At 42.2% G+C, this 27,407-nt stretch overlaps 1 protein-coding gene across 2 annotated transcripts in view, besides 1 other annotated feature; it reads right to left on the bottom strand.

Moving 5' to 3' along the window:
- The window catches only part of SLC27A2 (solute carrier family 27 member 2), a 54,190-nt gene that overhangs the window by 24,692 nt on the left and 2,091 nt on the right, over positions 1–27,407 (bottom strand). Inside the window, exons 2-4 of one of the 2 annotated variants that reach the window (NM_003645.4) lie at positions 13,985–14,194; positions 9,049–9,207; positions 6,331–6,455 (exon numbers count right to left, since the gene is read on the bottom strand). In NM_003645.4, the coding sequence (NP_003636.2) occupies positions 6,331–6,455; positions 9,049–9,207; positions 13,985–14,194 (494 nt within the window). The remainder of the gene's footprint in view (positions 1–6,330; positions 6,456–9,048; positions 9,208–13,984; positions 14,195–27,407) is intronic. The other variant, NM_001159629.2, reaches the window with a different exon arrangement.
- Positions 358–937: an enhancer, noted in NCBI's record as "H3K27ac-H3K4me1 hESC enhancer chr15:50502954-50503533 (GRCh37/hg19 assembly coordinates)". NCBI's record gives its function as "activates a minimal SCP1, AML or CMV promoter by ChIP-STARR-seq in primed H9 embryonic stem cells {active_cell/tissue: H9 hESC(primed)}" and the evidence as "EXISTENCE:reporter gene assay evidence [ECO:0000049][PMID:30033119]".

Below are 27,407 nucleotides of genomic sequence, written 5' to 3'. Positions count from 1 at the left end.
CTGGTTCCTCCCTGATTAGCTTAATAACTAACCTCCTGAATTATTTTTCAGGCAAATCAGGGATTTCTTCTTGGTTTGGATTCGTTGCTGGTGAACTAGTGTGATCTTTTGGGGATGTTGATGAGCCTTGGCTTTTCATATTAGCAGGGTTGGTTTTCTGATTCCTTCTCATTTGGGTAGGCTCTGTCAGATGGAAGGTCTAGGGCTGAAGGGTGTTGTTCAGAATTTTGTCCCATGGGGTGTTCCTTTGATGTAATACTCTCCCCCTTTTCCTATGGATGTGGCTCCTGTGAGCCGAACTGCAGTGATTGTTGTCTCTCTTCTGGGTCTAGCCACCCAGCAAGTCTACCTGGCTCTGGGCTGGTACTGGGGGTTGTCTGAACAGAGTCCTGTGATGTGAATGATTTATGGGTCTCTCAGCCATGGATACCAGCACCTGTTCCAGTGGAAGTGGCAGAGGATGCAATGACTCCATGGGATCCTTAACTTTGGTGGTTTAATTCCCTGTTTTGTGCTGTTGGCCTCCTGCCAGGAGGTGGTACTTTCCAGAAAGCATCAGCTGTAATAGTGTGGACAGGCACCAGCAGTGGGCAGGGCCCTAGAATTCCTAAGATTATATGTTCTTTGTCCTCTGATACCAAGGTGGATAGGGAAGGACCATCAGGTGGGGCCAGGGCTAGGCCTGTCTGAGCTCAGACTCTCCTTGGTCAGGTCTTGCTGTGGCTGCTGTGGGGGATGGGGGCGAGATTCCCAGGTCACTGGAGTTGTGTACCTAAGAGGATTATGGCTGTCTCTGCTGAGTCATGCAGGTTGTCAGGGAAGTGGGGGAAAGTTGGCAGTCACAGGCCTCACCCAGCTTCCAGGCAACCTGAAGGGCTGGTCTCACTCCCACCGTGCCCCCTCAACGGCCCCGAGTCTGTTTCCAGGTGGAGGGCGAGTCAGGCTTGAAAACTTGCCCAAGGCTTTCTGCCTCCCAGCTGTTAAAGAAAGGGCTTTAGTTCTTCTCCGCCTGTGGAGTCTGCAAGCCAGATTCACACCCTCCCTGGAGTTCTGGCCAGGAGTCTTCTTGCCCCGTTCAAATTATCCCAAAGTTTAGCTAGAGAATTCCTTCTCCCTGTGGAGTTTTGCCCCCTGCTCCTCTGGCCACCCTCCTGATGGATCCCTGTGGTGCCAGGCGGGAATGGGCTGCTAGGGGAGCCAGTGAGCTCCCAGGGCCTTTCTGCAGCTTCCTCTACCTTTGTATTTTGCTCGGTTTGGCTCTCTAACTTGACGAGGCTCCAGGTAAAGTCGGGAAGTTCTACAAACAGACCTTCAGCTTCTCCAGTATGTGTTCGGGAGATGAGGGTCTCCCTTTCCCACTTCTGCAGTTGGGGCGATCACAGTATTTGGGGTGTCTCCCGGGTCCTCTAGGAGCAATCCACTTCTTTCAGAGGGTCTGTGGGTCCTCTTGGGGTTGCTGGTTAGTTCTTGCAGTCAAGCTGGAGCTAAAATTCACAATGTGAGCCTCTCATGCTGCTCTGTCTGGAGCCACAATCTAGTCCTGCCTCCCGCTCGCCATGATCCTGTCCTCCGTATTTTACTTCTTACACAGATTTTCAAATAACTCCCCTGTTTTAAGTCTGACACTTCATCCCACCTTCAGCTGTATTCAAAGCCTGCAATTTCTCAGCCTTCAGGAAGGCAACTGGCTTCCTTCCTGTTGGGACTTGCCTCTTAAGTTTCACCCTTCTCAGCCTACTATGTCAGTCACTGTTATCTTTTAGCTTCCTATACTATGTAGTTCATGGTTGCAATGTCTCTTAGTTTCTGAGATGATGGTGCTTGTGTGTGTTTTTCTCATCGCCTTGTTTTGGGGTGACTTCCAAGAGGTGAAAGGGAAGAAGGTCTTTATCACCTTAGAAAAACTCCAGAGTCCCTGTTCTTAATAATTAATATGTTACACTTCTGCCTGGACAAGGCTCCACCTGTTTGCTTTACAGAAGAGGCCCTTCATCCTTCTGTGTATTCTCACATCGTAGCCAAAAGGACTGTCTAAAAATGCCATCTCCCACATTGCTCTTCCATGTAAGGCCCTTTAGTCATGGCTTGTCATGTTCACATTTGAGTCTCAGCAGAGTAAAGCCCTTGCCACCTGACCCAGCCCCTCAGCTTCACCTCCTGCCAGACTGCTTGCAGTTCCCAGTGTGCTGGGTCCTTCATCTCACTGCTCACGTGATTTTCCTGCTAGCCAGAAGCCCTTCTTTTCTTGCCTGGCTGCAGAACTTCTCCGTACTCTTCAAAGCCCACCTTCCCTGGCGAACCTTCCTGATTCTGCTCCCCTTCCCTCTTTCTTTTGGCCTCCCTCTGTCTTGGGCCCCAGTCATATTGGCCACTCTCCACTCTGTGCTGCAACAGATCCATCCATTCTCTTTTTTGAACAGAATGAAGCTGATGCAGAGACAGAAATTTTAGGCTAGAAGGGACCACAGAGGTTATCTAATTCTGGGGGGACGCAGTCAACACTAGAGGTAAGTTGAATCTATTCAGCTTTTTCAGGGTTCTGGCCAATATTATTTCTCCTTCCAAATATCATGGTTCTATGTGTGGCCCCTGGAACTCTTTTTTGGTTCCCTTTCTGTCTTCCTCCTCCCACACTCCAGCAGGTGTCATAAAGCCTCATTGAGACCCCTGTACTGGAGCCTTGTCCAGTACAGACTGTAGCTTCAGTCTGTAACTGGAGGAAAGAAACACTGAGCTTTAGCAATATCATGCTCCAATAAATAACTTTCCCTAGATGACATTGTTTTTAGGCAACTACAAAAACCGAATGGGAGCTGACAACCATACACTGCAAGAAATGAATCAGAATGGCCTTTCATTACAAACAGTCGCTTTGAAAGCAAAGGCCCAAATACAATGCGGGAAGACGGCAAAATAGAAAATATTCACTATAATATTTTAAAAATCACTTAAGTCAGTAGCTTTGCTATCCCATCCCCTACTCAACCTCAGATGAGAGTGATTAACTAAGTAGAATGTTTTCCCTTATTTCTTCCTTTGTGTAAGTGGGCAGAATTTTCATTGATTCATTCAACAAATATGTATGGGGTACTTATTATGAGCTACACACTGTTAGGCATGGAAAGTGATAATGATAATAATGGCAACATGTGTTGAGAATTTACTAAGTTCCAGCTACTATGTGGTTTATATATATCATCTCAGGTTGTCTTCATAGACCCCATGTGAGGTAGGTACTATTATCTCCTTGTTGGCTGACGGGAAGCTGAGATTTAGAGAGGTTAACTATCCTGCTCCAATGCCAGAGTCAGAATGCAGGCCGACTAACTCCAGAGTACTTGCTCTCAGCATTACTTTAAGTACCTGGGGCCAAATCTGAACCACTGACCTGAGCAGGGCTGGAAGCATTCTCCATAGCCCACTGCTCTACTAGAGAAGCTACTGAATATGGTTAAGAAGAGGGCAGAGAAGCACAGTGGCTTCTACCTCCCAACACTGGCCCCAGATTCTCCTGATGAGCTGGGCCATATATGTCTGTGGATGGGTGTCACTTGGTTTAGCTGTTCTGCTAAGGCAGAGGTTGCCTCCCTGGCATCCAGTGCTTGGGGGTCGCTGGTGGGGTTAGTCCCTCCAGCAACAGCGTATTCTAGGCAGCTCTAAGGGTGAAGAAGTTCCTGATTACATTGATCCAGGCCCTTCCCCCATTCATTCTAGTTTTTATCCAATTCTTTTTTTTTTTTTGCAAAGTCTTTTTGATATAATCTTTCCCTACATCCCATACAATCTGTACTTTCTACTTCCTATGATGACCTATGATTAAATTTAAAAAAATTTGCATAGATCTCCTGCTTGTCTAATGACATATGATTGTTTTCTTTCTTTCTTTCCTTTTTTTTTTTTTTTTGAGACAGGGTCTTGTTCTGTCGCCCAGGCTTGAGTGCAGTGGTGCAATCTTGGCTCACAGCAACATCTGCCTCCTGCTTTCAAGCGACTCTCCTGCTTCAGCCTCCTGAGTAGTTGGGATTACAGGCACGTGCCAACAAGCCCCGCTAATTTTTGTATTTTTAGTAGAGACTGGGTTTCTCCATGTTGGCCAGGCTGGTCTTGAACTCCTGACCTTGAATGATCTGCCCGCCTCTACCTCCCAAAGTGTTGGGATTAGAGGCATGAGCCACCGTGCCTGGACTGATGACCTATAATTTAAAAAAATCTTTAACTGAAGGTTTTTTTTTGAGATAACTTTGATCTTTTATTATACTTTTTATAAATATTTTCCAAACAGAACTCAGGGGTGGGGAAGCACTGGCAAATAGGAAGTCCAGGGGTCATTCAAGATTATGCATTAAATCATAGTATATTTTGAAGTTGTAAAACCCCAGTGAAATTGTCTTTGTTTTCCAGTATTTGAGACAACAGTAAGAGAAAAACTGGGAGAGTGCATGCATGTGTGTATGTGTGCATGTGTATATGTGGATATGTGTGGGCCTGAAGACAGCTACACACAAACATATTTATTTTCGTCCAGTCCAAAGGAAGCTCCCATTAGAACATACAGAAACAACACACACTCCCCAGGAGATTTTCTAACTGACAAAGGAGTGCCTTTAAGGTAGAGAAGAAAAGCCCAGCAGAAGGGTCCCATATGGATTTCTGGATTTTAATAGAGAGACATGCTATCTTGGAGGCCACGTGGAATATTAATGTGAAAAAAATTCAATAATGACATGAACAGAACTGCTGTGGAAAATACCCTAACCCAACTCACTGCTAATGATGATCCTCGAGAATCTATTGAATATGCCAAAAAATCAGAATAATATGTGCTAAGCCCAAACATTTTGGGGAAACATTTTAGCTCCCTCAACTCAACTACACATTTTTCAGGGGCAAGGATTTAGAGGTTCAGTCCACAAAATCTGTTGATGCCTATGATGTGTCATTTACAGATCTTGGTGCCGTAGATCTGGTAGTGGACAGAGCCCCTGCTCATATGCGGCTTTCATTTAATTGGGGCGAGGGGGGGCAGACAATAATCACATAAACCTTTACTATGTCAGGAGTGACAGGTGCCATGAAATGCAGTGACAAGCTGGACAGTGAGGGGCAGATGATATGTTTGATTATTAGCAGAAGAGGCCTGTCTTCTAATGAGGCAACATCTGGGCAGAGACTGAGTAAAGTGAGGTGAGAGAGACCTGGGGGAAGAGCATCTGACACTTCTTTCTGCGTCACACGGCAGCTGGTATGTTAGGTGAGTACAACAGGTGCTTATCAATAGCAATTTATCAACTTAGTGATCCTTTGAGTTTAAACTGACTGAATAAAGGAACTAGAATCTGGTGAAAGGGATTAGAATCTGGTGAGTTTACTGCATTGTCTAGTACAGTGGTTCTCAACTAGGTTAGCATTTCCCTGCCAAGAGACATTTGGCAGTTTCTGGAGACATTTTGATGATCATGACCTGGGGAGGTGGGGAGGTTACTACTGGCATCTCGTGGGCAAAGTCCAAAGGGTGCTAAACACTCTACAATGCACAGAATAAGTCCGCGCGGCAAAGAATTAAAAGCCCAAAATGTCAGCAGTGCCACCATTGATAAATCCTATCTGATACCAGATCTCTGATGAGAGTTGAGGGACTGGGCAGGAGGAGCTCTTGAGAACAACCCCATCGAGAGCTGAACATCTGCAAACAGGGCAGATCCAAGGCCATTGGAGATGCCCTGGGGCATCTGTTCCCAGCTTGGTGACAGACTTGGCTGGCTGGTTTCAAAGTCACACAGAGATTTATTTGTTAAACAGCATTAAGTAAAAGTTTCCTGTATGCCTTCGGTATAACAGAAAACAAGGAGACAAGATGTGGTTCCAGCCATCAAAGATATTACAGCCAAGGAAGGATGGGAGACATGAACACAAACTCCTGCAACATGACAAGGGCCACAGAGGGTAGAAATAAAATGACGTAGGGGAGAAGAGTAATGACTTTTGTTGGAGTGACCCAAATATGTTTAATGTATGAGGTATCATTTGAACTGGGCTTTGACACTGGCTTTTAGTAAGCAGAGGGGGAAATGCAGGATATGCTAGGTGGGGAGTAAGATGTGAAAACAAGTAAAAAGGCAGGAAATAATCATCATCATAATAATAATATTAACTCCCACCTACTAAGTCCCCTCTATATGGTAGGTATAGTGCCAAGTACTTTATCATGATAATTGTATCCTAAACTCAAAACTGATATATGCAAATCAGTTGAAGCCTAGCACAACCCAAAGTGACTTGAATTTCCATCTTACCCATTTCAAAATGATAGTAAAACGGGGGGAGTGTTACCTGTGGTGAGTTGCATAAATACCGAAGCAGTTCACCGATATACTGAATGACAGTGACGTTGTATTTTCTGCAGTCATCCCAAAACTGGCTGGCTGAAAATTTAGTCCGCAAGGCAAGAGTAGCACCTACAGAGAAAGCACAGAAAGTGTCAAGAAAGAAATGGTGGAAAAAATTCTCCCAGTTATGTTTAATTTGTCAACTTTGAACGGTAGAAATTTAAAAATAAATTATATTTGCAAACAAGTATTGAGTACCTTATATTCAAATGCAAAAAATTAGTAAGACATGGTTTTGTTCGATAGGGGCTTCCAATCTATGGAGGAGAAGACTCATACAAAGGTCATTTTAATAAAAGTTAGCTTGCAGTAAGAGATTCAAATGAAGTCCTAAGAGGGAGGGAGGGGAGAGGGAAAGAGATTTCATGCAATATATATATATATTATATTATATATATACTAAATATATGTATAAATAGAGTGAGACTCTGTCTCAAGTATATATATATACACACATACATATATATACACACACATACATATATATTATATATATACACACACACATACATATATATGTATTTTATATATATATATTTGAGACAGAGTCTTGCTCTATTTTTTTTTCTTTTTTTGAGACAGAGTCTCGCTCTGTCACCCAGGCTGGAGTGCAGTGGTGCCATCTCGACTCACTGCAACACCCGCCCCCCAGGTTCAAGTGATTCTCCTGCCTCAGCCTCCTGAGTAGCTGGGATTACAGGCGCGTGCCACCACACCTGGCAAATTTTTTGTATTTTTAGTAGAGAAGGGGTTTCACTGTGTTAGCCAGGATGGTCTCAATCTCCTGACCTCGTGATCTGTACCCCTTGGCCTCCCAAAGTGCTGAGATTACAGGCGTGAGCCACCGTACCTGGCCCGGGTCTCACTCTATTGCCCAGGCTGGAGTTCAGTGGTGAAATCTTGGCTCACTGCAACCTCTGCCTTGTGGGTTCTCGTGCCTCAGCCTCTAAGTAGCTGGGATTACAGGTGGACACCATCATGCCTGGCTAATTTTTGTATTTTTTAAGAAGGGATGGGGTTTTGCCACGTTGACCAGGCTAGTCTCAAACTCCTGACCTCAAGTGATTCGCCCACCTCAACCTCCCAAAGTGCTGGGATTACAGGCATAAGCCACTGTGCCTGGCCCATTCATGCAATATTTTAAATAACTTTGTGCATAAAACAAAGTTTGTGTTAAGTACTTATGTGTAGTATTTTCCACTTGTGGTGTCCTGGTGCTTAAAAAGTTACAGATTTTGGAGCATTTTGGATTTCAAATTTTTGGATTGTGTGTGTGTGTGTGTATGTGTGTGTGTTTGAGCTGCTATAACAAAATAGTACAGATGGGTGGCTTAAACAACATTTATCTCTTGCAGTTCTGGAGGCTGGGAAGTCCCGATCAAGGTGTCTGGTGTCTGGTGAGGGCATTTTTCCTGGTTTGGGGATGGTCATCATCTCCCTGTGTCCTTACATGGAACAGAACAGAGTCAGGAAAGAAGCTGGCTGTCTCCTGTTCTGATAAGGGCACTACCTTTCATGAAGGCACTACTCTCATGACCCAATTACTTCCCAAAGGCCCTACCTGCTAATACCATCATATTGGGGGTTAGGATTTCAACATATACATTTTTGGGGGACACAAATATCCATCCATAACATGCATGCATATACACACACGCATATATGTGTGTGTATATACATATGTGTATATATTTTTATATATACATATATGATTATTTAAAATGAAATGCCACATGAGAGAAAAAGTTGTTTATTTAGCTCAGTCAGAAAGTTACATATAGCTTCCTGGAAGAGTTGGCTATTGAACTTTGCGGTAATGTATACAAGTGACATGAATCCTCCTGGAAGGAGAGAGGATGGCAACTCCAATTTGAATAGTAAAGTCTGAGAAGGAAACAGAAGAGATGGCAAGCCAAGCCAAGCCAAGTATTCTGATGGAGTTGCCATCTTCTCTCCTTCTAGTAGAGCTGAAAAGCTGTGGAAATGGGAGATTACAGAAGAGTGCACACAACTGCAGAAGTTTAAAGCTGATGGAGATTAACATGCAAGTTTCTAAAGATGGAAATGACATGACATAGAATCTAAGACTCAAGTGTCATAACCTAAAATTTTTTTTTTTACAGTCAAGGTCTCACTCTGTCACCCAGGCTGGAGTGCAGTGGTGCAATCACAGCTCACTGCAATCTTGAACTCTTGGACTCAAGCAATTCTTCTACTTCAGCCTCCTGGGTAGCTGGGACTACAGACTTGAGCCACCATGCCTGGCTATATATATATATATATATATTTTTTTTAGAGATGAGGTTTGCTATGTTGCCCAGGCTGGTCTTGAACTCCTGGCCTCAAGCAATCCTCCTGCCTTGGCCTCCCAAAGTGCTGGGAATACAGGTGTGAGCCATTGCACCCAGCCCTAAAATATTTTAAAGGAGTTTGTCTCTTGATATACTGAACAATTATAGCATTACATTATTAGATAGGCAGGCATGAAAAACAGATTATTTTAGATGCTTGCTTGTAATATGTGATTCAAATTGCCTTATTGTTAATGCAAAATTGAAAACTGTTCCTAGCAGACAGCAACGTAGCCAAATTTTGTATTACTGTTCCTTCTGGGAAAATGTAAATGTGCACTCGCCTCCAACATTTTGTAGAAAAAGCTTACCAGCCACAATACATCCGTGAATGCCAATCAGTAGTGCAGCACTGTGGTAAAAGGGCAGAGTGATATAGATGACATCATCTGCCTTCAATCCGCTTACAAAAGTGAGGCCAGTTCCATACCATATGCGCTGATGAGTGATCATGGCTGCTTTTGGAAGACCTTTGTAAATATACAAGAGAAGGCATGAGTTAACCAAGATTGGGCATTTACAGTGTAGGAGAGAGATCTGGCTTAGGAAGATTCATCACCCTGTATTTTGAGAATTGCACTGGGAAGGGCCATGACCAGTTAGTCCAGGAGTTGACAAATGTTTTCTATAAAGGACCAGGGAGTAAATGTTTTGGGATTGTGGGTCATACAATCTCTGTTGCAACAACTGAACTCTGCTATTGTAGTCAAAAGCAGCCATACACATACATAAATGGAGTGTGGCTGTGTTCCAATAAAACTTTATTTACAAAAACAGGTGGGAGGCTGTATTTGGCCCACAAGCCATAGATTGCTAACTCCTGAGTTAGATGGTTATGACAGTAGTAATCTGAAGAGAAACAGAAACAGAGGAATGACTGTCCATTGAATTTCTGCCCTGTGGCTACCACTTTGCAAGACATTTTAAAAATCCATAACAAGTTTATATATGACATAAACAGAATTATATTCTCCAATCCACAGATGTGAAGGCTGAGAGTCAGAGAGATTTCTTACGTACTAGAGTTATTTTATACAAACAAAGCAAATATGAACATTTGCTTATATGTTCTTGCCTTTTCCATTAAAAAATATGCACACTTGGCCAGGCGCGGTGGCTCACGCCTGTAATCCTAACACTTTGGGAGGCTGAGGCGGGCGGATCACAAGGTCAGGAGATCAAGACCATCCTGGCTAACATGGTGAAACCCCGTCTCTACTAAAAATACAAAAAATTAGCCGGGCGTGGTGGTGGGTGCCTATAGTCCTAGCTACTCAGGAGGCTGAGGTAGGAGAATGGCATGAACCTGGGAGGCAAAGGTTGCAGTGAGCCGAGATAGCGCCACTGCACTCCAGCCTGGGTGACAGAGCAAGACTCCATCTCAAAAAAAAAAAAGAAATATGCACACTCTTTTGCATGTTTTTTGTCTCTGCTGCTTAACAATGTTTACTGGAGATTTGTTCATGTTTGTACATAAAGATTTCCCTTATTTATTCATTTATTTATTCTCTTTCTCAGCTCCTTCAAGTCCTTTTATAAGTGTATTATAATTTATTTATACTATTTGCTGTTATAAATGATGCTGCAGTGAAGAAGCTCGTCCACGTGGCAATTCACACTATGAATGACACCATATCTTTTGGATAAATTCACTGAAGTGAGATTGTTGTGTCAAAAGATAAAAGTTGGCCAGTCCTGTAATCCCAGCAATTTGGGAGGCTGAGGCAGGAGGATCGCTTGAGCCCAGGAGTTCAGCACCAGTCTGGGCAACATAGTGAGACCCCTCCTCTACAAAAAGTAAAACAAATTAGCTGGGTGTGGCGGTATGCACCTGTAGTCCTAGCTACTTGGGTGGGATGATCGCCTGAGCCCAGGAGGTTGAGGCTACAGTGAGCCCTGATCCTGCCACTGTACTCCAGCCTGGGCAACAGAATGAGTTTCTGTCTCAAAAAAAGAGTAAGAGTCTTTGTAATTTTGATAGATAACTTCCACATTGCCAGTTATAAGGGCTGTCCCCATTCATTCTCCTATCAGCAATACATGAGTGTGCCTGTTTCCTCCTAGCCTTGTCAATGTGTGCTCTTAAATGTTGGGGCCTTTGCCAGTCTGAAAGGTGAAAAACCGTATCTCAGTGTAGTTTTAGTACATTAGACTAAATGCGCTTGCACTTTCTTAACCATAATTTATATACGTTTTTTGTAAGATTTTCTTCTGTAAGTGTATGCTTATGTTGTTTCCCATGGAAGAACAGTTCAATTGGGGAGGGCATGAAGTCACTGGGAAGGGGACTAAGAGTTTAAGATCTGAGTGGGTAAACAGACTTCGTGAAGAGGAAGACAGATCTCTGTTGACTCAGATTCTTCAATACTTGGTGGTACCTTCACCAGATAGTGCCCAAATAGCAGCAACTTGTTACAAGGCAGACAAATATGGCTAGCAACCTACCATTATTGTAAACACAATTCAAAATTCATTTTCTTTGACAATGGCCCAGTTTTTTGTTTTGTTTTATGTATTATTATTATTATTATTATTATTTTTGAGATAGGCTTTCACTCTGTTGCCAGGCTGGAGTGTAGTGGTGTTCAAGGCTCACCACAGCCTCAGGTCAAGTGATCCTCCTGTCTCAGCCCCCCAGGTATCTGGGACCACAGGTGTGCACCACCATGCCTGGCTGTTTATTTATATTTTTTGTAGAGACAAGGTCTTGCTTTATTGCCCAGACTGATGTTGAACTCTTGGCTTCAAGTGAGCCTCCCATCTTGGCCCCAAAGTGTTGAGATTATAGATATGAGCCATCATGCCTGGCCTCTGAAATTTTTAAAAAGAAATGCTCATCTTTGTTGCCTTGAAGTACTTTCAGAACTTTCCTAAATTAAGATTTTGTATTAATGAATAAATGAGAATATCTGGTAACTATTATATAATTTTGTGCTAATGACTTCCTTTGAGGAGCAGGAACATTTATTCTCCAACTGTTTAAACAAATTCTTTTAATTAATGTTTACAAGAGTAACTTAGCACTATTTTTTTTCTACAGACAGTGCCTTGCTCTGTCACCCAGCATGGGGTGTAGTGGCACGTCACTGTAGCCTCAGACTCCTGGGCTCAAGTGATCCTCCCACCTCAGTCTCCCAAGTAGCTAGGACTACAAGGTGTACCACTATGCCAGCTAATTTTTTAATGTTTTTGTAAAGATGTGGTCTCGCTATGTTGCCCAGCCTGGTCTCAAACTCCTGGGCTCAAGTAATCCTCCTGCCTTGGCCTCCCAAAGTTCTGAGATTGTAGATGTGAGCCACTGTGCTTGGCCTAGCAAATATTTGATTCAGAGAAAATGAAAAAAGTAAAATAAACACCCTTCTAATTGTCTTCCAATTAAATATAAATTCTGACTTACGAGATTAAATCAGAGGATGCTCATTCTCTTTTTTCTCCCTAAAAGGGGTTTTCTTTTTTTTTCTTTCTTTTTTTTTTTTTTTAAGACAGAGTCTCGCTCTGTCGCCCAGGCTGGAGTGCAGTGGCGCAATCTCGGCTCACTGCAAGCTCCGCCTCCCTGGTTCATGCATGCCATTCTCCTGCTTCAGCCTCCTGAGTAGCTGGGACTACAGGTGCCCGCTACCACACCTGGCTAATTTTTTGTACTTTTAGTAGAGATGGGGTTTCACCATGTTAGCCAGCATGGTCTTGATCTCCTGACCTCGTGATCTGCCTGCCTCGGCCTCCCAATAAAAGGGGTTTTCTATTTGACTGTGAAAACATGCATTGTAACAAAGTTATAAACATTTACAATTTAATTTTACCATTCTATTAAGAAATGATGATAAAAGTCCCATATGTTAAGGGAGTGTCTGCATGCAGCAGAAGCAATTGGTTAATTGTGCCATCTCACCTTTCTGTTGGCCTGGCAATAAAAATAAAAAAAAAAAGATAGACATTATGTTTTGGGCACCAGCTTTAATATGTCATTCCTGGCTTCCTCTCATTTACTTAAATACTTAGCAAAAGTGACTGTATGAAGTGAAGTCAACAATCAGGTTAAACTCAGGTCCAGGAACTGTGAGCTCAGGTGGGTGCTGAGGGCCTGTCGAGGTGAAGGAGACAGTTCCTGTCAGCTGCAGCTGAGATAAAAGGCTCAAGGAAATTTTATCCTGGTCTATTGATTATTTAACAAGGAGAAGACCTGTATTACCTGCTTAAATTAAATTAAAATTTTAATCAACAGAGGTAAAAGACTCATAGATTCAATTTTCCAATATTAATAATAATAATTGGCATGCTGGGGCTGGCTTCCTGTCCTTCTTTTAAATATATCCCTCAGGCTTCATATTATTACATTTTGGTCTTCCTGGCCTGTAGTAGGCAGACACTAAATATCTATCACACGAATAAACAAGAAGGTACTGGGGTAGAGCTGTCAATTGTATGAGCTGTGGAATCAGCCTGCAAGGTGAATCCTGACAGTTCTAATGCTTACCTTGGGAAGTTCTTAACCTCTCTAAGCATCATTTTCTGAATCTCTAAAATGGAAGTAAAAAGAGTACCGATGTCAAGAGTGGGGGCAGAATCTTATCAACAAATGTTGTAAAGCTCCTTGAAGAATGCCTAGTACACATGCTACCCTTAATATTGCTTCTTCCATACAGCAGTGTTCCCATAACATTGTTAATTGGCAGTGTTTCTTCTTAGTGGCTCATAATGGGGCAGCTTACAGTTGAAGGCATCCTAGATTTGATGAAATACAGTATTTTAGGTCTTATGCTACAGCCACCCCACATCCACAGCACCAAACAGCTCCAAATCAGTGTTGCATGGGAAGATAACGGTTAAAACATTTATATAAATAGAACCTCCTCATTGTTCACTGGTCTTCTCCTGTGTTCCATTTATAATCAATTATACAGTCTATATGGACTCTGGATGTAATATAATCAAAATACAACAAGCATGAAAAAAAATTCCAACTACCCATTCAGTGCCAAATCTCATTCATCATCATAACTACTTCTGTAGTTCTTGGTTAACCTCTTTATCTGTTCTATACCAACTGGCGGAAAATATGCATAGCTTGGAGAAACGCAAATGGGATCACATGCTATGAAATAAGATCAGTTCCCGCAGGCAAATAACTAAATCTCCTGAAGTATTAGTTACCCAATACGTTTTGCCAAAGAAAGAGATTTGAAAACCTGTGTCAACATTTAACTCCTTCAGATTAATTTTTTTGGAGAATCCCCCCTTTATTTTTACCTGTGGTTCCAGAAGTATAAATGTATAAGGCAGGAGTGGAAAAAGTGACTTCAGACCTCCATGACTCTGGGATAGGTTCAGTTGATACTTCATCCACTTTGTCCAGGAAAGAGTCAATCCCATCTGTGTTAGAAGTTCTGCTCACATAATAGATGGACACATCATCTTTTTTAAGGCTTGGCAGTATCTCTTCGACAGCTGCTTGTAGTTCTTAATTTAATAAGAAAAATATCAAAACAAACTAAATCAGTCTATTAAAGTTCTATTAGTGCTTCAACAAGCATCATAATTTTATTTTCAGCATAATTTTTTGCTTAAATGTGTGGGCATGACAAATGATGCTTATCGTTATGCATTTTATATTATTATTATTATTTTAATGGAGATGGGGTCTATGTTGACCAGGCTGGTCTTGAACTCCTGGCCTCAAGCAATTCTCCCATTTTGGCCTCCCAAAGTGTGGGGATTACAGGCATGAGCCACTGCACCCAGCCCTATTATGCATTTTAAACATGAAATTTACTACATTTGAAAAAAAAAATCACAGGATTCCAATATTTGAGGGAAGGTTGGGTTTTGATGGTTTCACAAGCATAGCAGATGGTTGGCTGAAATCTGTACTTCTTGTGGCAAGTGCAAACCAATAGACATATGGGCAAAACCCAAGAAATATCCGTGTGTAACTGATGTATATCTAAATATACTCCAGAAATAAATTTGGCTATTCCTAATATGTGCCACACAGGACTAAAGATGAAAAAAAGAGAAAATTTTAAGGAAGGAGAAGAGAAATGAAAAGAAGGGAGCCGTGCTAATTAACAAAGATGATAGAAGCTAACTTTATGTAACAATTTTTTCTTATGCATCAGTAACAAGTAATTTCCTAGGAAGGTTAAACTGATCTGAGAAATAAGCTCTAAATTTCAAAAGCCTGTTTTCTAATCTGAGGGAAAAAAAAGGAGTGATTAATTTAGAGCAGTGTTTCCCAACCTGTGGGTCATAATTACAGTAGTGGATTGTTAAAATCATTTAAACTGAGCGATATTTAAAAAAATGAAAAATACTTAAGGAAATAGAAATTTTGAAGCACATCTTAGCATAGTAAAAGGTAACAGTTCTACTGACAGTTCTACCGCTTATCTTGAGAAGTTCTTAACCTCTCTAAGCATCATTTTCTGAATCTCTAAAATGGAATAAAAATAGTACTCATCTCAAGAGTGGTAGCAGAATCTTATCAATAAATGTTATAGAGCTCCTTGAAAAATGCCTAGTACACACTACTCTTAATATTGCTTCTTCCAGATAGCAGTATTCCTATAACACTGTTTTAGGAATTATTCCTAATAGATGAACAGGGCTGTTCATTTTTAAAAGTTTTGTTTCAGTTATGTGGGTGTGTGGGTACTGGGTCACGCACAAAAGTATTTCTTACTGGGTTAAGGTCAAAAATGTTAAAGGCACCGATTTAATATGCAAACCACATTTCATGCTTGCTACTTGGATTTTGTGCCTTTAAGCCGTAAAGTGAGACTGCTTTTAAGCCTACTTGTCTTGAATTGTGATAACGGAAGTGAATGTACATACATATATATATATATATATATATATATATATATATATATATATATATATTTTTTTTTTTTTTTTTTTTTTTTTGAGACAGAGTCTGGCTCTGTCGCCCAGGCTGGGGTGCAGTGGCGCGATCTTGGCTCACTGCAACCTCCGCCTCCCGGGTTCATGCCATTCTCCTGCCTCAGCCTCCCGGTAGCTGGGACCACAGGCGCCCGCCACCATGCCCAGTTAATTTTTTGTATTTTTAGTAGAGACGGGGTTTCACAGTGTTAGCCAGGATGGTCTCAATCTCCTGACCTCGGGATCCGCCCGCCTCGGCCTCCCAAAGTGCTGGGTAGGAAGGTGACTAAATGTCCCAGGGTATTACCTTGGGGAGGCTACACCTAATTCATCTGATATGCTTTGTTTTTCAGATGTTTGTGTATGATATCTCCATAAAGACAAGAAATATCACCGGGATAGATGCATTTAAAATTTAAAAAAATATTTTAATCAAAAGACTCATGCACCTGGTAACAATAAATCAAATAGTACAAAAGTGTTTACAATGAAAATAAACAAGTCCTCACCCAGGCCTTCCTCACAACTAAAGCTAATGCCTAGGGGAAATCATTGTCAATTTTTTATTTATTTTATTTATTTATTTTGAGACAGAGTCTCACTTTGTCACCCAGGCTGGAGTGCAGTGGCGCGATCTCGGCTCACTGCAAGCTCCGCCTCCCGGGTTCACAGCATTCTCCTGCCTCAGCCTCCCGAGTAGCTGGGACTACAGGCACCTGCCACCACACCTGGCTAATTTGTTTGTTTTTGTTTTTTTTTTTTTTTTCATATTTTTAGTAGAGACGGGGTTTCACTGTGTTAGCCAGGATGGTCTCGATCTCCTGACCTCGTGATCCGCCCGCCTCTGCCTCCCAAAGTGCTGGGATTACAGGCATCAGCTACAGCACCTGGCCCACCACTGTCAATTTTTTAAAAGCTGTTTCTTCTGGCAATTACCTTTCCATCACCAAAAAATATGCATTTCCTGCTAGTTCTTGGCCTATCAATTTTGATCCCTACTTCCATTTCACCCTGTTCATTTCTGACAGTTATTATCTTCCCTTTACATTGTCTAGGGTAATAGCATTTATATTTATTCTGATACCATTATTCTGTCTTCCCAGCTTTATGGATTTGCTCTAGAAGCTGAAAACCAATAATCAGAATCAACATAAATGTGACTATGAAAATATTCACCACGGAGCCAAGTAAAGTACTATAATTGTACTTACTTTCTTGAACAGTTCTTTTTTTTTCTTTTGCCCCAAGAATCTTTATTCCCCTCCTTTACATTTTTTAAAAAATTTTGTCTGGTTGCTCTCTAATCCTTCAGCACTCCAGAAAGGTTACCATAAATATGACTGTTGTAGAAACGGGAGTGGTAGCATCCACTCCTGTGCCACTGCCTTGGCTCATGTCCTCATTATTTCCTACCTAGATTATTGCTATAGCCTCCTGACCAATGTCCTGCCCTTGAGTCTCTTCCTGCTTCTAATTTATCAGCTTCACTCTCATCCAATTTCTTGTTGCCACCCTGTTTAAGATCCTTCAGGGCTGTTCATTCCTTGTGATAGAATCCACTCTCCTTATTCGGGAGGACCGGAGGTGCCTCCCGGTCCCACTCCTGCGTGCTTTCTGTGTCATCTCCTACTCTCTACCTCTTGCCCTCTTTCCTCTAACCACATTGATCTATGGAAAATCCCTGAAGGTACCTGTATGCTCACGTCTCATTACTTTTGCCCAGGTTGTTTCATGGTCTCTCACCCCCTGGTCACCTGGAAAACTCCTGCTTATCCTTCAAGACTCAGTGTAGGTAGCACTTCTTTTCTGTTATCTTCCCTCCCTCTGCAAAGTTAGCTGCTCCCTTCTACAGCTCCCATAGGAGCCCGTATTTACAATTATCAGGGCGCTTATACACAGTATGATAGGGTTCAATTTTTTAATTTTTCTTTAGAGACAGGGTCCTGCTCTGTCTCCCAGGCTGGAGTGCAGTGGCGTGATCATGGCTTACTGCAGCGTCAACCTCCTGGGCTCAAGTGATTTTCCCATTTCAGCCTCTCAAGTAACTGGGACTACAGGAGTACCATGCCCAGCTAACTTTTTGTAGAGATGATGTCCCGCTACGTTGCCCAGGCTGATCTGAAACTTGTGAGCTCAAGTGATCCTCCCACCTCAGCCTTTCAAAATGCTGGGATTACAGGTGTGAGCCACCATGCCTGGTGGATGTGGTTTAATTCATTTTCTCCTCTATTAGACAGGGAGATCTTTGAAATTAAGATAATAATCAAATCATCTTTGTACCCCCAGAACTACTAGATAAGTGCTCAATAAATGTTTATAATTGAAAAAATTTTGCACAAAATATGATATTAGTGTGGAAGACACAGAGGAATAAGGTAAAGCTGCTTAAAGGATTCAGATCTGGCAGTTGATAAACCTTTAATGAAACATAATGTAAGATGAAATAATTTCTGAGATACAAGTATGCCTTGCTTACAAGTAAGGGCCCACAGAGGCAAATTTTAAAACAACAACTCCTACTGCTAAAGAATTGTGAAATCTCCTTTCTTTCCTCCTGTCATGAGACTCAGGGTCCATAGTCAAACAATCCGTTCATAAGTTACCTGGATCCATTCTCATTCCCTCCCTCCCAACATTTATTCAACATCTATTTAAAGAGTGTTCCCTGTGTGCCAGGCAGGTCTCTACATGCTGGATATGACAGTGAGCAAAACGCTCTCCCTGTTTTCATAGAGCCCAGGTCTAATAGAGGAGAAACAAACAAACAAAAATCAAAATAAATTGCCACAGGTGTCACAACAGGGGAAGGAGAAGGTATTTGGGGAGCAGGTGGTGGGGGGCAGAAAGACGACCTAGAAGAAGTGCCCTGTAAACTGAGACCTGAAAGATGAGCAGACGGTGGAGATGAAGATCAGCTGGGACTGACTAAGCCTGAGTCTGGGCAGTGGAACGGCTTATGCAAAGGCCCAGAGCCAACGCAGCCTGGGGCCTGAGTAACTAAAAGAGGTTAAAGCTGACTGGAATGTAGAGTTGGAGGGGAATAAGGTTGGGAGAAGAGGTAGGGAGACCAGCTGTTAGATGATGCTTGTCTACACTGTGTAGGCAGCAGTGTGGGTAGAGAGAAGTGAATGTACTTAAGAGATATCTGGTAGGTAGAGTAGATAGGACTTAGCAACAGTCTTTTTTTTTTCTTATTTTTCACCTCCAAGTAATCATCTTAATGAGGGGAAAATGGTAGGTCAAAAGGGACTTTAAGTTTTTCTGTACTTCTTCTTCTTTTTTTTTTTTTTAAGAAAAATGTACTTACAGCTAGCCTGGGCAACATGGCAAAACACCTCTACAAAAAAATACACACACAAAGAAATATTAGCCGGATGTGGTGGCGCACACCTGTAGTCCCAGCTACTCTGGAGGCTGAGGTGGGAGGATCACCTGAGCCTGGGAGGTCAAGGCTGCAGTGAGCCATGATTATGCCACTGCACTCCAGCCTGGGCAACAGAGTGGGACCCTGTCTCAAAAAAAAAATTTAAAAAAAAAGAAAAATGTACTCAGGTATTAGCATGAAAAATTAATAATAAAAGGAAATGTAATTAAGCTGGTGTCATGCTTGATCACAGTCCAAGCAACTTCACCTCATGTGTACTTCATTCATGTTCCCAGCTGGCCCTCTGCAGGCATGTAGTTTGTGATTCCTGACCTTTTATGCAAGTCATCTAATCTGAAGGGAGGGCCATTGCCCCTGCCCTACACCATCTCCTTCCATCTCCTCTAGGCTGTTGGTGTAGATTTGTTATTTGGGCAGACTTGAGTTTCCAGCGGCTTGCCAACCATATCTGGACACACTATGGAAGCCTTTCTTCCCTTAAAGATGTAGAAAGAAAAAAGAAATTTGAAAGGAAATTCTGGATGTGAATCTACCTGTCAACTATCTAGTTGATATTTAATGTCTTTTATTTTCTTGAGTCTTTTGTAGATATGTTTGGGCCTACATATTTTCTTTTTTCTTTTTTTTTTTTTTGAGATGGAGTCTCACTCTGTCATCCAGGCTGGAGTGCAATGGCGTGATCTCAACTCACTGCAATCTCTGCCTCCTGGGTTCAAGCGGCTCTCCTGCCTCAGCCTCCCGAGTAGCTGGGATTACAGGCGGCTGTCACCATGCCCGGCTAATGTTTGTATTTTTAGTAGAGATGGGGTTTCACCAATTTGGCCAGGCTGGTCTTGAACTCCCAACCTCAAGTGATCCGCCCACCTTGGCCTCCCAAAGTGTTGGGATTACAGGCATGAGCCACTGCCTGGTTGGCCTACATATTTTCTAATGCAAGCATAAAATATCTATCTACCTTTTATAATTTTTATTGTAAAGTCTGCTCATCTATCAATCAGAACATGTAAGCTCCTATAATTCTATTTGTCAAGGTTGGGTTCTCTGAGACTCCGAGATGTGCATGCAGGAGTGCTCTTGGGAATGGGACCTGTGAGGCTGCAAGGGAAGCAGACTGGATAGAGGGAGACATTGAACTGTAATGCAGTCACAACAGAAGTCTCCCTCAGCAGATCCTCTAATCCTAAGGGGACTCTGGACCTGGGATGCCCTTCAGAGTTACCTCCTAAATTAAGGGAGGTAGGCTGTGCCTTCACACCTGCCCATTGACCAGTCCAATGGACTCAGGCTGGGGTGGTGGTGCTTAACCTTGGGCAAAGTGTCTCTCTTCAACCAAGGAGAAGTCCTGGGAGAGGTCTCAGCTGAGAGCTCCCAGCAGCTGAAGAGTGAGTCCGTCAGTCCTAAAGCAGGGATCTGGGTGGCACATCAGAGCATGCACCCACCTCTCTCTTTACTAATAACAAACATTTAAAATTTTCATTTGCATAGAACTGTTGGTATAGTTTTACATACATCACTTCACATAATTTTCATAACAACTCTGTGATATAGATACCAGTAATCTTATTTCTACAAATGAGAAGAGGCTCACCAAGTCAGTGTATGGAGGGTCACATGCAAAATGAAAAGAATCATTCTGGGCTTCTGAGGTTCCCACCTCCTTGTATGAGCCATTCAGATTAAGTTCTAGCAAAGTGCCTTATTTCTTGGAAGAGGCTGGCTGCTTGGCCTTCTGCTCAGTGCTTGTTCAATCATGTGGATCTGCATTTAATGAGTAACATGGATGATCTTTTCTTGAAGAGCAAAACCTCAAGCTTTATTAAAAGTTTGAGTATGAGAAACAGTGGTCACAGAAAGTTGCCTGAAGGGTGTAGAGCAGCTCCATCAGTCGGTTCTTCATCAGTCTAGTTTTAAGTTGTAGACTGAAATAAACCCACAGAGAAAGAGCACACACTTGGGTGTTGAAAAATCAAGTGATTACAACACTACTCCCCCATCCCCTTTAAAGTCTGTTCAAAGAAAATTTTAAAAAATTAAGGTAGCATATTAAGTCTGCCCCTGCCTTTTTTTTTTTTTTTAAGGAAAAAGGAAGAATTTTCTGAATAAACAAGTCCATTGCTAGAAGGCAGAGAGATTGGGTAGGTGGTGAGCTGAATCAATCTTCATTACTAAGGTGTCAGGTGCTCAGGCTAAACCTGCAGCTTTCCAATAGGAAAACATTCAGTCTAGTAGCTTGTTCTGCTACTAGACTGCCTCAGTGAATGAGTAACTGACTGGATTAAACAAAACACCCCAGAAATATTTACCAAGAAGGTAAGGTCCAAAAGGAAGGTAGTGAAAGGAAATGTACTCTGATCATGAAATGGTTGGTTGATGAGCAAGTCAAGCTTGAAGATTTATCTCTTTTCTTCATTCAGAAAAGCAACTGAAATGCAAACTGGTGCTATTAATAACATAGTCCTTGAAGACAACCTAAAAATAGTTCCTAAAATGCCATTTGTAACTGTAATTTTGCATCTCAATCATTGGCAGTTTGGAATGACAGTATTTTGTACAGCAAGATGATGCACATTATAATACTATATATAGAGAGAGAGACATGCATGTGCTCCTCCTTCTTCCCCACACAAATCACCCGGAGGTCATAAAAATGTTTAAGTTCCACCAGGAGTAAGCAAAAATTTAACAAGGAAATACATACTCATTTTACATTTAGGTAATTAAGTAGTAATCTCCTTGATGTTAATTTTTATTTCTCCAAGTTAAAGTTCTTGCTTATATGAACTCTTGCTTTCTAAATAGCCCTGGAATCAAAGGTAATTCCTTATCATGAGTTACCAGGTCACATAAGGCCTTACATAATTGTTAGCATTTGATATCTGTAAGCAACCATGTCATCTTTCTACCAATGATCTACTTCCCTTTTCTCAGAGGCTGTGGGAAGGTCCTTTTCAAATACTAGCACCTATTATATAGAATAATCTGAACTCTATCCTTCTCTTTCAGATTCAATAACAACACCTGATTCAGAGTTTGTTTTTACCTCTTCAGTCCCTGTTTCTGAAGAAAATAAAGTGCATTCCCATATATGCCAGCAAAGTGCTAGTTTTGTTCTTGGATGGAGATGTACAATCACCTCCTTTGCAAGCTTTAGTTAAGAGCAGGGAGAGAAGAAAAATCTTAGAGAATATCTTTAAGCTATCTTTCCTTGGGCTACTAGGCTGGGAATCCCAGCCCTTGGATATATTAATCATTTGGTGTCTGGGTTTCTGTCCTTGTACAGGGTCCTCCACCACCCTACTCACAGGTCCTTTCCAGCCCATCCTGTGCTCACCACCTGCTTACTTGCTGCACTGAGACCCAAGGAGAGCACCGCTGTCCTACCATGTACTGCCAGAGAGCTGGACAGAGTCATTGATTAGGAGGACCTTTGAGAGGTAAGTAAGCCTGTGGTAGGGTAAGGCTGGGCCTGGGGTAGATTGAGTTTAAATGGATTTTTTCACATCTGATTTTGTTACATCATTTTTCAGGCCCTCATGCCCAACCCAGTGGTCCTTAAGCTTCAGGAGAGAAAGCCTGTCACAATCAACCAGAATAATGGAACCCATTAATTCAACAGACATTATCTATCCATTATGTATGTATGTATGTATGTATGTTTGTATGCATCTATCTATCTATCTATCTATCTATCTATCTATCTATCTATCTATTTATCTATCTATCTATCTACCTATCTAGACAGTCTCACTCTGTCATCCCGGCTGGAATGCAGTAGTGTGATCTTGGCTCACTGCAACCTCCACCTCCCAGGTTCAAGTGATTCTTGTGCCTCAGCCTCCGGAGTAGCTGGGATTACGGATGCCCGCCACCATGCCCGACTAATTTTTGTATTTTTAATAGAGACAGGGTTTCGCCATGTTGGCCAGGCTGGTCTCCAACTCCTGAACTCAGGTGATCTGCCCATCTTGGCCTCCCAAAGTGTTGGGATTACAGGCATGAGCCACCGTGCCCTGCCCAACAGACACTTATTGACTGCCTGCCTACTATGTGCTAGACATTACTAGGGAATTATTCAAAGATATATGAGAGAATTCTAAGCCTTTGAGACAAAGTGCATTGAAACAACTCATTTAAGTTACTCCTTGGGCAGTCCAAAGAGTTGGGAAGAGTGTAGATTAGATTATTTCTGTGCCTTGATTCTGGACTAAAGTTGGCATTAGAAAATTAAATATTTCCTTCTGTGGAAGTGAGGCCACTGCTGTTGGCCATTCTTTGGACTCTCTGAGTCCCTATTTTTTCCATTTCCTGTCCCTTCAGGAAACAGCTTAAAAAAATGACTATTATTAGGTCCAGACTGCCATTGTTCTTACATCGCAATATCCTTTAATGAAGCATCTCACTGTTTTAAGCACCTGATCAGAACTGCCTCTGGTGCTCCTTTTGCCTGGAATGCCCCCTCCCCCACTGCATTTGTTCAGCTCAATAGTCAGTGCCCCAAAAAGCCTTCTCTTGACCTCTGCTTGTTTTCCTGCAGCACTTGTAGCCCTCCCAGCACACTGAGCACATTCTACTGGGTGTCACAATCATTTGTGCATGCGGTTTAGTTCTTTTACTGGACTGTAAGATCCTTGAACTAATTCATCTTATTTCTCCATCCCATCATGGCACAGAGAAAACTAGCTTGTACCTTGTTGGGACTCTCTCTCCTTTTTTTTTTTTTTTTGGTGGCCTCTCCTCCCTCTAAATGTTTCTTGCTTTGAAAATCAAATTGTTGTACCATCAGTTTTTCTCAATCTAATCTCAAAAGTTTGGATGACAAGGGTTATCCTTGGTCCCAACACTTGTTTTGTAATGAAGTTCTTCAGTCTTATAGCTTTTAATGATGCAATATTTTTGAAAGCTATTGTAAGCATTTTTCCTTTATCACATTGTTTAAAGGAGGTCAAATTTTGTTTTCTGCAACCTTGCAAAACCAGGTCAAAGGTAATCTGGAACGTTTTATAACTTACCTGGGACTCAGTTTTGCAACAGAGAGTATCTTTAACTGTTACTAAAGCCTTGCATAAGAGTAGTGCCTACACTGTGGGAGCCTCGCATGGCTGTGTTGAGTTAGGCAGTGTATACCCTGCCAGTGAGCTGATGAAGGGACCCTCAGGAGACCTGGGTTATCTACCCAGTGGAAGAGCTAGTTTATTGATGGTCTTGATGCTAGGATAAATGGAAATGGAACAAATGTACAATTTCAGGCCTCTTTTGTAGGTTTTTATAAAATATCCCATATTGTGTGAAATAAAATATGTTTTACTGTTTTACCCATATTCTGTATTTGGAAAGTTGGGTGAAAAACTACTGGCCCAGCCATGTGGCTTTTATTAGTTACAACATTGATACAGGTTCTTATCCTTGGAGACAATTTTCCCATGTGATTACCTAGATCATACCCTGCCCTGGAGAACGATCCTGAAATGTACAACAGAGAGAAAGTCATATTCTCTGGGAAACAGTGCTGCTGCTTGATTCAGGGAAGTGTTTATGAGTCTTGACTTTCTGTAACTATAGTAAAATTGAAAAGAGTAATTGAGTACTGAAATTCCTGATAGGGTTGAGTCCTGTTAAGTGTTATAAAGAAACCCCCAAATTCATAACAACTGGATCAATCCTCATGATAAATGCCTCTGTGCTGGTCCTTTACATATACTGCAGAATTTGACTGACAGATGGAGCTCAAGAGCTCTTACTAGTCCACAAGCCCTGGGCTGAAACTCAAAATATGGAATCAAACTGACATTTATGTATCATGTTCAAGATGGTGTGATAGAATAAACAGTGCCTCGTAAGTGAGAAAAAAATATTTGGGTTCTATCTCTACCTTTCTGTTCCTAACTATCCACTTGATCATGGGCAATTCATATCATCCCTCTAGGCCTTTGTTTATACAGCTATAAGACAATGAGAAGGCCAGTAGCAGTGGCTCACGCCTCTAATCCCAGCACTTTGGGAGGACGAGGCAGGTGGATCACGAGGTCAAGAGATGGAGATCATCCTGGCCAACATGGTGAAACCCCATCTCTACTGATAATAACAAAAATTAGCTGGGCATGGTGGTGGGCATCTGTAGTCCCAGCTACTTGAGGGGCTGAGGTAGGAGAATGGCTTGAACCTGGGAGGCGGAGGTTGCCGTGAGTCGAGATCGCGCCACGGCACCTCCAGCCTGGGCAACAGAGCGAGACTGTCTCAAAAACAAACAAACAAACAAACAAACAAACAACAATGAAAAACAATGGGAAACTAGACTGTTTCTCAAAGCCTAGTCCTCAGACCATTTGTTTCAAAATCACCTAGGGTTGGCGGTGGGGTTTCTTATAAAAATACACATTCCTGGGCCCCAACATAGTCTTACTGAATCAGCATTTTTGGGGATGATCTCAGAAATTTTATTTTTTTGTTTTGAGACAGGGTCTCACTCTATCACCCAGGCCGGAGTGTAGTGGCACAGTCAGAGCTCAGTGCAGCCTCAACCTCCCGGGCTCAAGCAATCCTTTCACCTCAGCCTCCCCAGTAACTGGGACCACAGGTGCTCACCATCATGCCCAGTTAATTTTTGTATTTTTTTTTTTTGTAGAGATGGGGTTTCATCATGTTGCCCAGGCTAGTCTCGAACTTCTGGGCTCAAGTGATCCTCCCTCCTCCACTTCCCAAAGTGCTAGGATTACAGGAGTGAGCCATAGTGTCCAGCCTCAGAATGTTTTTAAAAGTAAGCTTCCGGCCAGGCGTGGTGGCTCACGCCTGTAATCCCAGCACTTTGGGAGGCCAAGGCCGGCAGATCACGAGGTCAGGAGATCAAGACCATCCTGGCTAACACGGTGAAACCCTGCCCCTACTAAAAATACAAAAAATTATCCGGGCGTGGTGGCGGGTGCCTGTAGTCCCAGCTATTCAGGAAGCTGAGGCAGGAGAATGGCGTGAACCAGGGAGGTGGAGCTTGCAGTGAGCCGAGATCACGCCACAGCAGCCTGGCCTGGGCGAAAGAGCGAGATTCCGTCTCAAAAAAAAAAAAAAAAAAAAAAAAAAGTAAGCTTCCTAGGTGATTCTTGGGCTTATTAAAGTTTCTTCTGTAAACTTTTTTTTTTAAAGTATAACACATTCATTAAACTTACAGGATTATAGGGTTAGAATATCTCTAAGGTCCCTTCCAACACCAAAGAATTCTAAGAATCAGTCCATTCAACATATTTTCCCATGGGCATGTTTAGTAAACATGCAACTCTGTGACAGACTGTAATTTTGCTTCATGTGCAAAGGTATCTCAGTGATTTGGAAAAACTGATTTTTTTTCAAATATGTGGCCTCCCTCAGAGGTCAGTTGACGGTCCAGAGAGTGCCTTAGGTCCACTGTAAAGTCTGGTTCACGTTTGAGTTTAATATAGAAATTCCCATATATTCTCTATGTAAACACATAGCTCTATGGCAGACAACTGTTAGCTGGGTGGGAAGAGGGTATCTGGTTGTAATTCTGACTTTATTGCAGAATCAAACTGTATTATGGTCATTTAATCCTGAACTTCTTTGTCAACAAAACTCCAAACCCTGTGACCTCCCTCTCAGGGGACCTGGGATACTAAAGTGATAAACAGAATTTAAATGCTTCCTGAAGTGGTACAAAGATCACTGTGTTAATAATTTCCCTCCAAGCAAGCTGGTAAAGTAATAGGCTTAGGAGAGTCTTCTAGTTACAAAGTAGTGAAGTTATCGCTTTTCTCAGGCAGCTAGAAATTAATGGGAATTTTCTTGAAAGGACCATCTCTTCCAAATAATTTAGCCACCTTTAAACTTGTCTTTTTTTTATTCTGTTTTTTGAGATGGAGTCTCACTCTGTCCCCCAGGCTGGAGTGCAGTGGCATGATCTCGGCTCACTGAAACCTCTGCCTCCTGGGTTCAGGTGATTCTCCTGCCTCAGCCTCCCAGGTAGTTGGGATTACAGGCACGCGCCACCATGCCCAGCTAATTTTTTTTTTTTTAGTCGAGACGGGGTTTTTGCTATGTTGGCCAGGCTAGTCTTGAACTCCTAACCTCAAGTGATCCACCTGCCTCGGCCTCCCAAAGTGCTGGGATTACAGGCTTGAGCCACTGCGCCCAGCCTAAAATTTGGCTTTCTGCTTTTAAACTTTTATACAAAGCCTATATTTTTTGGATTATTTATTTCATGCCACATGAAGCAGGTGTGTAAGATTCCTGGTTTCTCACAAGTGAATTAACCTTTCATCTTTCTGTAACCCGCTTAGCTTGCCTCAGTTTCCCCAGCTATGAAATGAAGGGGTAGAGCAAGTGGACACTTCATCCCTTCCAGCACACTTAACAGTTTACATCCATGCAGAGGAAAACAATAAGATGTAGGAAAGAGGCTGG

This window comes from Homo sapiens, chromosome 15 (assembly GCF_000001405.40).
Source record: "Homo sapiens chromosome 15, GRCh38.p14 Primary Assembly".
NCBI lineage: Eukaryota > Metazoa > Chordata > Mammalia > Primates > Hominidae > Homo > Homo sapiens.
Note: the sequence above shows the minus strand (reverse complement) of the source record. Positions and strands in the feature narration are given on the sequence as shown.